A 14,586-nucleotide genomic window follows, 5' to 3' on the forward strand; every position below is an offset into this window, starting at 1 on the left:
CTGCCCCTTCCAGCTTCCAGGGCTGTCTATTTGCTCTGGAAAGAGCGACTCTATCTTCCAAGCAACTGCCCTTTGTTGTAAGCAGTGTAAGCAAACTGCCCTTTGCTTTGGAGAAAGACACTATTGTTTGTCTTCCAAGGCTGTTCATTTCACCAACATTCTTGAAAAGGTAACCCAGAACAAAGGGAAGCCAGTGTCCCACTGCAAGACATGGCCGCATCACTCCAATCACATCACCTCCTCTGACACTGACCCTCCTGCAACCCCCTTACAAGGACTGTTCCGTCACACTGAGCCCACCCAAATAAGCCACGACCATCTCCCCATCTCAAGGCTCTTAACTTGCTCACATTTGCAGAGGTCCTTTACCATGTAAAGTAACCTATTCACAGGTCCTGGGGATTGGGACATGGACATACTTGAGGGGCCATTATTCAGCCACCATACTGTGATGCTCAAAATGAACTTGGTTGAGATGTCAGAGCGAGGACTAAATCTCCACCTAGAATATTGGAACCCAAAGGGCTCAGGAAGTTTCCAGCGCCATCTCAAACTATTTCTTAAGAGTGACCTACAAAAAAATTTCCATGTCTCCCTAGACTATAGCATTACACATCAGCTGTCCCAAATAAACGGGCCCTGGGGTAGTGGTCGCATTAACCGAAAACTATTTTCTTTCCCAGGTCCCAGGACAACAAGCCCCATTACAACATAAGAACTTGGGAACAGTAACTGCCCTTTGTGACAAGGGGAAGAGGACATGCAAACGTTAGTTACAATAGCAGTGAGGAGTACTGGTGGCGGCATGCATTCCTATTTCTCCCTTTACAGAAAGATTGAAGTGGATCCCAGCTGATTCTTACAAGTATGTTGGTAGGACTGATCGTGAAGCATTCTCTCTTCTTCTCTTTCTCTCTCCAAATATTTATAAGAACTTACTGTGTACCAGGCAAATAATGCTTGGGAAGACCCTGTGCTTCCTTCCCTACTCTCTCATTCTTCCAGTGTCTTCCAGAGGCAATTCCTGCAGTTCTTGCAGTGGTTGCCAGTTTCCTTGCTTATGGACTGCCAATTGCTCTCCTCTGCTTACAGGATGAAGTTCAGGGCCTCCAGTCTGGCACCTGGGGTCCCGTCTTGTCTGTGCAGTGTTCTCCCCCAGGACTCACAAAATGACTCTCACACCCCAGCAAAGTCCATCTAAATAGGAACACCTAGCCATTTTTTATTGTGTTGCTTAAATACTAAATTCTTGACATAAGGCATCATAAAGTTTCCTTCCTGCAGGTTATAGTGGAGGACGCTGAAGCTGCTGGACCCCAAGGTTGCTGCCATTGCCACCACGATGCACAACGGCCTGAGAACTTCTCTGGCCCAAGGGCTGCTTCCTGATGCCCAGCCGTGTCTGACTCTGCCTGGCTACAACGACTTCTTCTTGCCCAAACTCCAGAGACCCATCTGTTCTGTTACTTACCCGTCACCTAGGAATGGTTTGATCCCAGTCACCTGACAAACTTCTGGAAACTCAAATGCATCGCACTAGGAGAAGGTTGGATCCCTGAAACCCATCCGTGAAGGCCTGAGTAGTCCCAGGATCTCAGCTAAGAAACTACTGGACTAGGCCATCTCTGAGGTCCTTTCCTCCAGTGAAAGTCTGTAATTCTGTAATTTTACTCCAATTGTGTCCTTTCAATACATAATACAAATTATGGTGGGAAGAAAAGATCCCAGGGAAGTCAGCGAGGAAGACCCTCCCTTCCCTTATTCCAAGCCACTGCAGGCATCCCTGGCCTGCAACATATACTCTTCTTGGCAAGGCAATCCAAAATGCTCTCTGACCCCTTCACAGGAAAGAGATTGAGCCCTTCATCCCTGCCCCAACTGTTGCTGCTTGGACACTAAGAGAGAGGCTAGAATAGCAAGGGTTTCCCTCAACAGCAGGACTGTTGACCTAAGGTAGAAAGGTGGCTCTCCTGGGTTCCTGCCACCTGGCTCTGCCCTTCTCAGCACTGCTACTGCCTCTGCAAGAGCCTTCTCTCGCCTTCGACCTCAGTCAGAAAGGAAAACATGCACTCGGGGCTTCTTTTGGTTTAGATAGGCTCTCCCCTCCAGAGCACAGGAGTGAGGAGCAAAGGATGTCTGCATGACATTTTCTCCAGTGCTTGCTACGGGGAGACAAGAAGAACACCACTGCCCAAAAGTTCCAGAGGGGAATGCCACTCAAGGCCATGGGCCCCAGGCAGCCCGTTACTATGCAGATGGCAGCCTCCTGGTGCAGAGGACTGATGTGAATCCTCAGAAAGCCTAGAGGTGCCATTCTGCAGCCACCTTCTCCATTCTAGCAGCACATTTTTCTCCCCACCACACCTCCCAGAGGAAGAGGACCCTCCTCATCCTCTATACTCCTGTTGCCAGATGAGTCTCCCTGGGTGTTTCACATTTTTGCATGCCTTGCAGTCTTTGCATGTCTGCCTTCCCTTTGTTCTGGGTTACCTTTTCAACAATGTTGGTGAAATGAACAGCCTTGGAAGACAAACAATAGTGTCTTTCTCCAAAGCAATGGGCAGTTTGCTTACACTGCTTACAACAAAGGGCAGTTGCTTGGAAGATAGAAAGAGCAGCTCTTTCCAGAGCAAATGGGTAGGCAGGCTTACTGCCCATTGTCAAACATTCAGGGTCCCCAAGCTCAGAGATTGTCATGAATTGCAAGCCACTGCTTGTGCAGGTGTCATCCGGCCCCACATGCTAGGACTTAGGGCAAGGAAATGTGGGTACTATGGCTATAGTGATTGTTGTAAATAATAACACGGCTTCTAGCTAGGCACAGTGGTTCATGCCTGTAGTCCCAGAACTTTGGGGGTGCTGAGGCAGGAGGATCGCTTGAGCCCAGGAATTTGAGGCTGCAGTGAGCGATGATTGCATCACTGCACTCCAGCCTGGGCAACAGAGTGAGACCCTGTCTATAAAAAAAAAAAATACATAACACAGCTCCTGCCAGTATCCATATCCACTAGTCTGTGACGGCGCAACGCATTAGCTGGCAAGTAAAGTACCAGACCCCTCCAGGGCGTTGACACTCCCTAGTGCTGGGCTGAGGGCACATCAGCCCCTCTCCTCTCCCCCTGCCACAGCTTACTTCTGTGAAGGCCTCTCGTGTCCTGAGCACTTCAATTTTATTTTATTTTATTATTATTATTATTTCTGAGACAGAGTCTCACTCTGTCGCCCAGGCTGGAGTGCAGTGGCGTGATCTTGGCTCACTGCACCCACCGCTTCCAGGGCTCAAGCAATTCTCCTGCCTCAGCCTCCCGAGTAGCTGGGATTACAGGTGATCACCACCACACCCAGCTAATTTTTGTATTTTTAGTAGAGACGGGGTCTCGCCGTGTTGGCCAGGCTAGTCGCGAACTCCTGACCTTAAGTCATCTGCCTGCCTCAGCCTCCCAAACTGCTGGTAAAGGCATGAGCCACCGCGCCCGGCCAAATTTTATCAACTCAATTAACATCAAATTTAGAAATGTAAAGATTTTATTTCCAGTTTGACGATAAGCTGCCTGCCCTGTGACAGACCACTGAAAAATTCAGCTGTGGCTGACACCTAGGAATTTGCAGTTACAGGACGTTTCCAAGTTCCATATGCGATGTCATAGTGCCGCCTGCTGGCTCCTGTCTCACAGGAATGCTACACATGCAGACGGTGGGTCTGACCCCGCAGCTCACACACAGTTCACGGATGAACCTGAGGAAAGTAGGAATGAAGCTCACAAATGTCATGTAGAACAAAAGGAGCTGGGTAGGAAAAGTATAGATTGTGTAATTTCATGTACAGGAAGCACAAAACAAGTGAAACTTCACAAAACAAGTGAAACTAACTGTACCAGTCAAGGTTTCGCAGAGAACTAATGGGAGATCTATGGATATATTTTAAAGGAATTTATTTAAGGGAATTGGCTCATGTGATTGTGGGGCCTGGCTGGTCTATAATCTGTAGGGCAGGTCAGCAAACCAGAAAAAGTCTGGTAGGATTTCTGTGTTACAGACTTGAGGCAGAATTCCTTCTTTTTCCCTGCTCTCTTGAGAGTCTTTGCTCTCAAGTCCTTCAACTGAATGGGTGAGGCTCACTCTCATTATTGAGGGTAATCTCCTTAAAGTCAATGGATTGTAGATATTAATCATACCTACAAAATATCTTCACAGCAACTTCTAGACCTAGTGTTTGAGCAAACAACTGGGCACCATAGCTTAACCACAGTGACACATAAAATTAACTACTGCAGGCTGGGCGCGGTGGCTCACGCCTGTAATCCCAGCACTTTGGGAGGCCGAGGTGGGTGGATCACGAGGTCAAGAGATCAAGACTATCCTGGCCAACATGGTGAAACCCTGTCTCTACTAAAAATACAAAAATTAGCTGGGTGTGGTGGCGCGCACTTTAGTCTCAGCTACTTAGGAGGCTGAGGCAGGAGAATCACTTGAGCCTGGGAGGCTGAGGTTGCAGTGAGCCGAGATCACACCTCTGCACTCCAGCCTGACAACAGAGTAAGACCCTGTCTCAAATAAATAAATAAATAAATAAAATTAACTACTGCAGTCAACTGTTTGTCAACGTGGCACCTCTACATATCTCCTTAAACTATACTTAATCTCCAGATAACAGCAAAATCATACTTGCACCTCACCTGATTCAACTATCTTGGGTAAAACCAGAGACACACTAAACCTTCCCCAGAAGAGGACGTAGGGTTCTTGGGTCATGTTTACTCTTCTCTTTGGTATCCTGTAACTGAAATATTAAGATATGTCTTATGTAATATAAGGGAATAAGAGAGAGAAGAAGACAAATATATTTTCTAAACACACACACACACAACACATTTGTAACCAAATAAGGAAGAAATACTCGTAACAATTACAGTCCCCATTTTTGTAACTGGCCATGTGGTTTAGCTGGTATTTATAACCATCTGCTTCCACTACCCATTCCAGATTCCCTTTGCCCTCAGCAAGCACCTCAGCTGGTCATGGTTTGTCACCTGGTGGGGTGACCCAAACCTTCCTTCCTGAAGAGTTTGGACCATTTAGTAGTATGGCCTGAATTAGGTTGTTATAGTTTTCCATTGATCTGAATCACAGTGCAGAGTAACATTGAGATCTCCTGTACTCCAGATGCACTCTTACTTACCTCCGTCGGGGAGTAGCAGCCCAATTTTCCCTTGGTAGCCAGGACCAATCACCCCAGAAAACACAGCAGCTCCCTTCTTAGCCTGTTGACTCAGAAGCATGAGGAGCCCCAAGTGGCTGGGTGGCACGTTAACTGAGAGTTTGGTGGAATCACTGTTGTGTTTCCTGGTGGAAGCACTCTTCCCTTTGGAACTAAGACTTTTAGATCAGCAGAGCATTAGGTTACAGAACAGGAAGAAAACATTTTGCTAGTGGGTCAGTATAGGGGTAATAGTGAATGGTGCCAACTCCATTTCCATCCCTTGATTCCTGGACTTATGTATCATGGCTATTGGCGAAGCAGCACCCTATATTGGATGCTAACTTATATTTATTTATTTTGAGACAGGGTCTTGTTCTGTCACCCAAGCTGGAGTACAGTGGCATGATCAAGGCTCACTGCAGACTTGGCCTTCCGGGCCCAAGTGACCCTCCCATCTCAGCTTCCTGAGTAGCTGGGAGTACAGCTGCATGCCACCACGCCCAGCTAATTTTTAAACTTTTTTTTTTTTTTTTTTAAATAGAGACAGGGTCTTGCTATGTGTCTCAGGCTGGTTTCAAACTCCTGAGCTCAAGCGATCCCCCAACCTCAGCCTCCCAAAGTACTGGGATTACAGGCATGAGCCACCACCCCCAGCCCCTTGGGTGCTAATTCAGAGCATACACAACCTCCTGGAGAATATTGCCCCAGCCCTGCAAGGCATTACCACCTACCTGACACTGTATCTGAGTCTTCAAAACGCCGTTTCACTGTTCTGATCAAGGCACTCACTTCACAGCAAAAAAAAGTGCAGCAATGGGCACAGGCTCTTGGAAGTCACTGGTCTCACCATGTTCCCCACCATCCTGAAGCAGTAGGCAGATTAGAACAGTGAATAGAATAGAACGGGCTGAATAGGATAGAAGCAATGCTTTGTGGAACCTACCACAGTGGTGAATATGGCATTCTGTGGCTCCATGGATAAATTTTGGCAGAGGCATTGTGTACAGGGAAAGCAAATCCATATTCAGACTAAGTGTCCACCCCAGGAAGGACAAAATACCGACCTACCATGATGGAAGGAGTCCAATGTAACCAACATGCCACCTGTAGCTGGCTGATCATCCCGGGGAATGGTGCCATATTGGAGCCTCAGTGTTGGTCTCTACCACTGACAGATTGGGCACTCGGTGGTGGGTGTAGCCAGGTTGGCCTTAGTGGGTGGAAGTCCATATTGCTGAACCCATGTGTAACCTCCATCCTGACACCATGGCTGCTTTGTTCGTGAACTCACTGGGCATGACAGGGGTGGCTACGGAAAGAAACCGCCTCGCATCCACAGAACAGGTCATTCTATTCTATTATTAAAATTCTCCTCTGTAGATGTCACCGTTTGGTGGGCATTCATATGGAACACAAATATCTTCCATTTTTTGCTCATTCAGAGAGAGAGAGACATCAAATTTCCTTGTCACCAATTTCCAATAATGTTCCTTCTAAGTCCCTGACCATCAAGCAAAATCTCATAAGTGAATATACAATTATACCTCTTGCCATGTCTCCTTCCAAACAAAAACCACTGGATTCATTGCCCAAAGTTGGGGATTGCTCCCACTGGGAGGAATTCCCTTCACCACTGTTTCTTGGGGATGTCCCAGAAAGGGACTATTATGCTGTAGTTGTCCATATTGGGGTGCCTGCATATCATGCAGAACCACCTATGTGCCTGGTATATCTCGTCTCGTCTTCCTCAGTCAACTGATTGTAGGAAACTCTGTATGAGGCCATAGATAGGGGCGTGAACTGATAAGATTGTGTATCAGGACTAGAAGCCAAGGGCCCCACTCAGAGCTAGCAGCTTTTTGGGTCACTTGGTTGATGAGCTGGAGTGGCACACCCAAATGAAGAATGTCTTGCCTCCAAAATCCAAAAGGGCATTGTACCTCTTTTTTGGTTATAGGCGGAGCCAAATGCAACAACTTGTCTTTCATTTTGTAAGGAATATCTTGACATGCCCTACACCACTGGATCCCTAGAAATTTCACTGAGGGAGAAGGTCCCTGAATTTTAGTTGGATTTATTTACCATTCTCTGACATGCACATTTCTTACTAATAAGTCTAGAGCAGTTGCTGCATCTTGCTCATCAGGTCCAATCTGCATAATGTCATAAATGTACTAAACTGGTGTGATATCTTGTGGAAAAGAAAGGTGATCAAAATCCCTGAAGACTATACTGTGATAGGAACGGAGAGTTTAATCTACTCCTGACATAAGACAATTGTTATGGACTGAAATGTATTCTTCCAAATTCTTATGTTGACGTCCTAACCCCTAATCTGACTATGTTTGGAGAGAGGGCCTGTAGGGAGGTAATTAAAATTAAATAAGATCATAAGAGTGGGGCCCTTATCTAATAGAACTGGTGACCTTATAAGAAAAGGAGGAGACAACAGAGATTTCTCTCTACACATAAGCATAGAACAAAGGCTGTGTGAGGACGCAGTGAAAAGGTGGCTGTCTACAAGCCAAGAACAGAGTCTTCAATAGAAATCAAATCTGCCAGCACCTCCATCTGGGACTTTTAGCCTCTGGAATGGTGAAAAAGTAAATTTCTGGGCCTGGTGCAGTGGCTCATGCCTGTAATCCTAGCCCTTTGGGAGGCTGAGGTGGGTGGATCATCTGAGATCAGGAGTTTGAGACCAGCCTGGCCAACTTGGTGAAACCCTGTCTCTACCAAAAATACAAAAATTTGCCAGGCGTGGTGGTGTGCGCCTGTAATTCCAGCTACTCGGGAGGCTGAGGGAGGAGAATCGCTTGAATGGAGGTGGAGGTTGCAGTGAGCCAAGACCATGCCCCTGGACTCCAGCCTGGGTGACAGAGTGAGACTCTGTCTCAAAAACAAAAACAAAAAAAGTAAATTTCTGTTGTTTAAACACCCAGTCTGTGGTATTTTGTTATGGCAGTCTGAGCAGACTAATAAAACAGTAAAGATGTATTGCTGGCCTTGCTAGCTGGAAGCAAATTGCTTCTGGTAATCTTTATTAACAGATACTGAGGAAAAAGCATTTGCCAATCAATAGCTGCACACCAAGTACCAGGGCACCAAGGCATGTGTTAATTTACTCAAGCAGTGAAACCACATCTGAAACAGCAGTTGCAATTGGGGTGGCCACCTGGTTAAGTACACAGGTGTCATTCTCCAAGAGCCATCTTTTTTTCTGCACAGGCCAAATAAGCTAATTGAGGGGGATGTGGTAGAAGTCACCATCCCTGCTTTGTTCAAGTCCTTGATGATGACGCTAATCTCTGAAATCCCTCCGGCAATTTGGGATTGTTTTTGGTTTACTATTTTGCCTAGGAAGAGGCAGTTCTAGTGGCTTCCACTTGGCTTTTCCTACCACAATAGCCCTCACTCCACAGGAACCAGTGTGAGGATTCTGCCAGATGCTGAGTAACTGGTCTATACCAGTTATGCATCCTGGAACTACGAAAGTAACCACTGGATGGGTTTAGGGACCTGCTGGCCCAGAGTGAGATGGACCGGGGCTCCATCGACCATTTTACTTCCATAAGCCCCTACTCTGAATGGCCTCCTGGAATTAGTGTGAGTTCAGAGCCAGTTCAGTAATCCCACAAAAGTCTGATTATTTTATTTTTCACAATGTACAATCACCATGGTAAAAAAACCGTTGGTCCCGTTGGGGACACCTGAGAGGAAGATTAATAGTATACATTTTTGACAGTGTATCAGGGTCCTTCCTCAAGGCGACCTTGATTTCCCTTCATTCAAGGGATTCTGGGTCTGTAAACTGGTTCAAGTCTGGGAATTGAGTGAAGAGCTGCGACTCTTTGTTTTTATGATTCAAGTTAGGTGTTTGTTCACTTGACCTAGAACTCTTCTAATTATACAGATCAAGTAAGAATTTAATAGGCTGTCCGTCTACTCTCTTCTACGGACACCACGATCAACAGCCAATGCCATAGGTCTCTGCCAGTCAGACTATTATTGCCGTTTTGACTCTACTGCCCATTATGGTGACCATGCTCTCCTTGCTTTTGGCAATTACATGTTGCCACTTGTCCCCTTCTGTCCCAGAAACCAATGATCTGCACTGCACCTAAGGATTCCAAGTTCTGTGACAGTAGATCCCACTGCAATATCTGACCTACAAGGAAAAGCAACCACAGGAGCTCCTCAAGGATGCAGGGGCTCCCCTCACAAATGTATTTATCAGTCATGGTGAAAGGTGTGTCCTCTGGATGCTCCTAGGGTGGGTGAGCAGGGGTCACGTGTTAAATCTAATATTCCAACCTCCCTATACCTTCCTCTACGGTGCACAAAGTCAGCTCTGCCATTTCAGCTTTATTTAGTGTGGGCCACCTTTTGGTCCATACTTCAGCTAAACCAAACTGTCAGAGCCCTTTTCTAAGCCCTGGAGGTACAGCACTGAATCCAGATCTGACTAATGGGCCCATCTCAATAAGTTACCCCCAATCCAACTTCATGTTCCTTGCATCATTATCCCACACATTAATACTCATTCCCAAGATTTTGTCTGTACAAATTGGAACCACCATGCAGTTCTTTTGGATCTCAGTGAACCTCCTGAGTCACACTTTGTATCTCACGTTTTGGGGCCTGTAGGGACTTGAGTCTTGTCATAGTTCTAGAAGCAAAAAGGGGTTCCTAGGGTAGATCCTGAGGAATCAGCACTGTCTTCTGAGGCAACTACCTCAGAAGAGGCCACCACAGGCTCCTGCTTGATAACAGAGTCAATATCCTCAGATGGGGTGGAAGGCTTGCTTCTACTGGCAGAGAAGAATCCACAGAATTTAGGAGCTCAATGTCGCCAGTTTCACCAGGATCTTCCCACAGGTCCCCATTCAAATTTTTAGGTGTACTTCTCATATGAAGGCACTAGGAGAGACAGAAAAAATTCAGGACCCTGTTCCTTCCCAATTCCTGCCCTTACTTTAACAGCAGACGTTCCCGTGAGGTTGGGAACTCAATTTGTGTCATAATTCAACGACTTGCAGGATGAGACTCTGGATTTGGCTTCCAGAAACGTCAGCTCTGTGGCTACAGGAGATGTGTTTTTCTTTTCTTTTCTTTTCTTTCTTTTTTTTTCAGGGCAGACACAGAAACTTTCCATTCAGTTATGTAATGGTTGAGCTGGGAGTTTGAAACCCTGAGTTCATCCTTTCTTTCCCTATCTTGTCAAGCACAATTAACAGCAACAGCCAATTTCGTTATACTCATTAATTTGATAAAAATGTTCTAAGGTGGCAAATATATGGTCACCCAGAACCTTGCCTCTCATGAATATTTGAGTAGGAGTGTCCAATGGCGGTATTTTGGGTATCTCTACTGCCATATCACACTATAGGTGCTCTGTTTACCACTGAAAGTAGAGTCATTAGTGCATTAAAATCCAACCAGATTAGAGAACCAATTCCAGAAACCACAGAACCAATTCCAAAAACTCATCCTTAAGATTCTGTTCTTCTAGGCTGGGCGTGGTGGCTCACGCCTGTAATCCCAGCACTTTGGGAGGCCAAGGCAGGCGGATCACAAGGTCAGGAGATGGAGAACCATCCTGGCTAACACGGTTAAACCCCGTCTCTACTAAAAATAAAAAAGAATTAGCCGGGTGTGGTGGCGGGCGCCTGTAGTCCCAGCTACTTGGGAGGCTGAGGCAGGAGAACAGCGTGAACCCGGGAGGCGGAGATTGCAGTGAGCCGAGATCTCGCTGCTGTACTCCAGCCTGGTGGGAGACAGCAAGACTCTGTCTCAAAAAAAAAAAAAAAAAGACTCTGTTCTTCTAGAACCAATCTTTGTATAAAATCTGTAAAATCTGTATCAGTCAGGATTCTCCAGAGAAACAAGACAATATTTACATCTTTCTTTTTTATTTCTAAGAATACAAAAGGGTTTTTTTTTTAAAGCAATTGGCTCATGTGATTGTGCAGGCTGTTAAGTCTAAAATCCTTGGGACAAACTGGTGGGCTGGATATGGGGTAGGAAAGGATGTTGCAGTCTGAGTCTCTCATATGTAGGGTAGGTTAGGAACTCAGGAAGGATTTCTGTGTTACACAGACTTGAGGCAGAATTTTTTTCTTTGGGAAACCTGAGTCTTTTATCTTAAGGCCTTCAACTGGATGGATGAGGCCCAGCTACCTTATCAAGGTTAATCTCCTTTACTTAAAGGCAACTTGTAGGGACAAGAGTGACTTTTTATTTTTATTTTTTATTTTTTTTGAGATGGAGTCTTGCTCTGTCGCCCAGGCTGGAGTGCAGTGGTGTGATCCCAGCTCACTGCAACGTCAGCCTACCTGGTTCAAGTGATTCCTGTGCCTCAAGCCTCCTGAGTAGGTGAGATTACAGGTGCCCGCCATCGCACCCGGCTAATTTTTGTATTTTTATTAGAGACGGGGTTCCACCATGTTGGCCAGGCTGGTCTTTAACTCCTGACCTCACGTGATCTGCCTGCCTCGGCCTCCCAAAGTGTTGGGATTACAGGCGTGAGCCACCGCCCCTGGCCAATTTAAAACGCCAATCTACCATGTAAGTTCCCACTAACCCTGAGTTTGAGAATGCCTCCAAAATGTCTAGTTGATGTATTACTCTTTATGTAGGAAGAGCTATTTATTGTAAGTTGCCTCCAAAACCACCTTTGTTGTTGCAGAAATCACAGGCTGTGATACCCACAGCCACCTATACATTCCTTCCAGAGCACGTATGCATTTTTCCCAAGCTGTGTGTCTGGGGGGTTGTGGAGTGGAGATCTACCTGTCTTGCAGCCACTCAAGACCGCAAGACCCAAGACTTCTGTCTGTAAGTTCCCCTAATAAGTCAATAAATATAATCCCCTAATAAATCCCCCAAAATATAATCCCCTAATAAATCATCCAAAACTGACCAACTGGATTTGTCTGCCTCTTTCTTTGGTTTCTCAGCTCCTTCGGCAGTTGGGGGTCGCTTTGTATATATTAATACGACCCTTTCACGGAACACAACTGATTGCAGATGTTAATCCCATCTACAAGATACCTTTATAGCAACATCTAGACTAGTGTTTGAGCAAAGAACTGGGCTTCATAGCCTAACCATGGTGACACATAAAATTAATCATCACACCAACCTATGCTGTTAGGAAGGAGGTCGGTAGTTACTGCTTGGGGAGGGGTGTAAAGACCAGAAGGGACCACAGGAGAGCTTTAAGGGTGTGAGTCATGCTCCCTTTTTCGAGGTGATGATGGCTGCACAGATGTGTTCAGTTTGTGAAAATCCAGTGAGCTGTGTACACTTGTGATACGTGTACATTTTGGAATCTATATTATACTTCATTAAAAAGCAAAATGTTAAGGACAAAGGCAGTAAGACAAAAAGCAATGGAAATAAGAAAAAAAGCCTTACATCAGATATGGAGACTTTAGAAATTGCAAGACATTAACATATATAACTCTATATTAATAAGTTTAAATATTTCAGTGAAATGGCTGATTATTTATTTATTTGAGACAGTGTCTCACTCTGTCGCCCAGGCTGGAGTGCAGTGGCACGATTTCAGCTCACTGCAACCTCTGCCTCCTGGGCTCAAGTGATCCTCTTCCTGCCTCAGCCTCTTGAGTAGCTGAAATACAGGCGTGCACCACCACACCTGGCTAATTTGTTTTCTGTAGAGACGAGGGCTCACTATGTTGCCCAGGCTGGTCTTGAACTCCTGAGCTCAAGCAATGCTTCTACTTCGGCCTCACAAAGTGCTGAGATTACAGGCATGAGCCACCATGCCCAGCACAAAATGGCTGATTTTTTAAAGGAAGATATAAATGATCAAAATTGTCTTGACAAAAGGTAAAAAATCTGAAGAGGCCATGAATAAAATAATTTTAAAAGGTAGTTAAAATTAACTATACCTATCATCACCCAAGGCATGAGGCTGATAAAATTTTGTGAACGTCATCTACAAAATCTTCACGGAATCTTCTACAAAATCTTCATAGGAATCTTTCAGTTCCTATGCTATTTAAACTGGCGCAGAGCAGGAAAAAAAATGTGAAAGCTTCTTAACTCATTGTAGGTTATTTATTTATTTATATTTTTGAGATGGAGTCTCGCTCTGTTGCCCAGGCTGGAGTGCAGCGGTGCAATCTCAGCTTACTGCAACCTCTGCCTCCAGGGTTAGAGCGATTCTCCTGCCTCAGCCTCCTGAGTAGCTGAGATTACAGGCGCTCACCAACACGCCCAGCTAATTTTTGTATTTTTAGTAGAAACGGGGTTTCACCATGTTGGCCAGGCTGGTCTTGAACTCCTGACCTCAAGTGATCTGCCCGCCTCAGCCTCCCAAAATGTTGGGATTACAGGTGTGAGCTGCCACGCCCAGCCTTCACTGTAGGTCGTATTCTTTCCAGAATATGAACTGGAAACCTCCAAGCTTGTTTTTCCAGACTCTTATTAGCTCTCTATTTCTAGTTAGGTTCTGAATTGAGAGACAGTAGGGGATTCAGATGCAGGAGGAAGAAGACCTTTTCTCCAATTTGTGGAGGCAGCTCACATAGCTGAGTAGTGGTGGTGGTGGCAATGGGTGAGCCTGGCTTCCTGCTCGGGGGTGATGTGAACAGCAGCAGTAGCAGCAGCACTCAGCCCTAGCTCCAGCAGTACTAGCAGAGGCTCCAGGAACCTCAGCTGTTCAGAGCTTGTGGGCTCCCATGGCTGTTACTCTGTTGGACGCCTGCAGTGTAAGCTGGAGTATTGGCTCCTGGCTTTCTGCCTGCTGGTGGTAAAGGTGCCAATGTCAGCAGCCTCAGAGTCAATGATGGTAGCACTGGGTAAAACTATTTTCCCTTTCACGCTCCCAGCCCAGAGTTTCCCGTAGTTACTAGTCTCTGGGTAATCTCACATGTTCCCTTTTTGCTCTTAATTAACCCCTTGGATATATATGTAACCAGTTTCCTGTGTTAAATTCTCTCTCTCTTTTTTTTTTTTTTTTGAGATAGTGTCTCCCTGCGTTGCCCAGGATGGAGTCCTGTGGCACAATCTCGGTTCCACCACCACTCCTGGGGCATTTTTTTGTATTTTTATTTTGTATTTTTAGTAGAGAAGCGGGTCTCGCCACGTTGCCCAGGCTGGTCTTGAACTCCTGAGCTCAGATAATCTGCCCGTCTCGGCCTCCCAAAGTGCTGGATTACAGGGTAATTTAGCCACCAGGCCTGGCTGACACGACCACTTTGGAAGACAGTTTGTAAGTTTCTTATAAAACCAGGCCAGGCACAGTGGCTCATGCCTGTAATCCAAGCACTTTGGGAGGCCAAGGCAAGAGGATCGCTTGAGCCCAAGAGTTTGAGACCAGCCTGCTCAACATGGTGAAACCCCATCTCTGCAAAAAA

The 14,586-nt window shown here is 45.9% G+C and overlaps 1 annotated feature.

The window, feature by feature from the left end:
- Window positions 2,262-2,556: a silencer, noted in NCBI's record as "tiled region #933; HepG2 Repressive non-DNase unmatched - State 7:EnhWF". NCBI's record gives its function as "represses a minimal TATA promoter and a strong SV40 promoter by Sharpr-MPRA in HepG2 cells {active_cell/tissue: HepG2}" and the evidence as "EXISTENCE:reporter gene assay evidence [ECO:0000049][PMID:27701403]".

Source organism: Homo sapiens, chromosome 18, assembly GCF_000001405.40.
Source record: "Homo sapiens chromosome 18, GRCh38.p14 Primary Assembly".
Classification (NCBI taxonomy): Eukaryota; Metazoa; Chordata; class Mammalia; order Primates; family Hominidae; genus Homo; species Homo sapiens.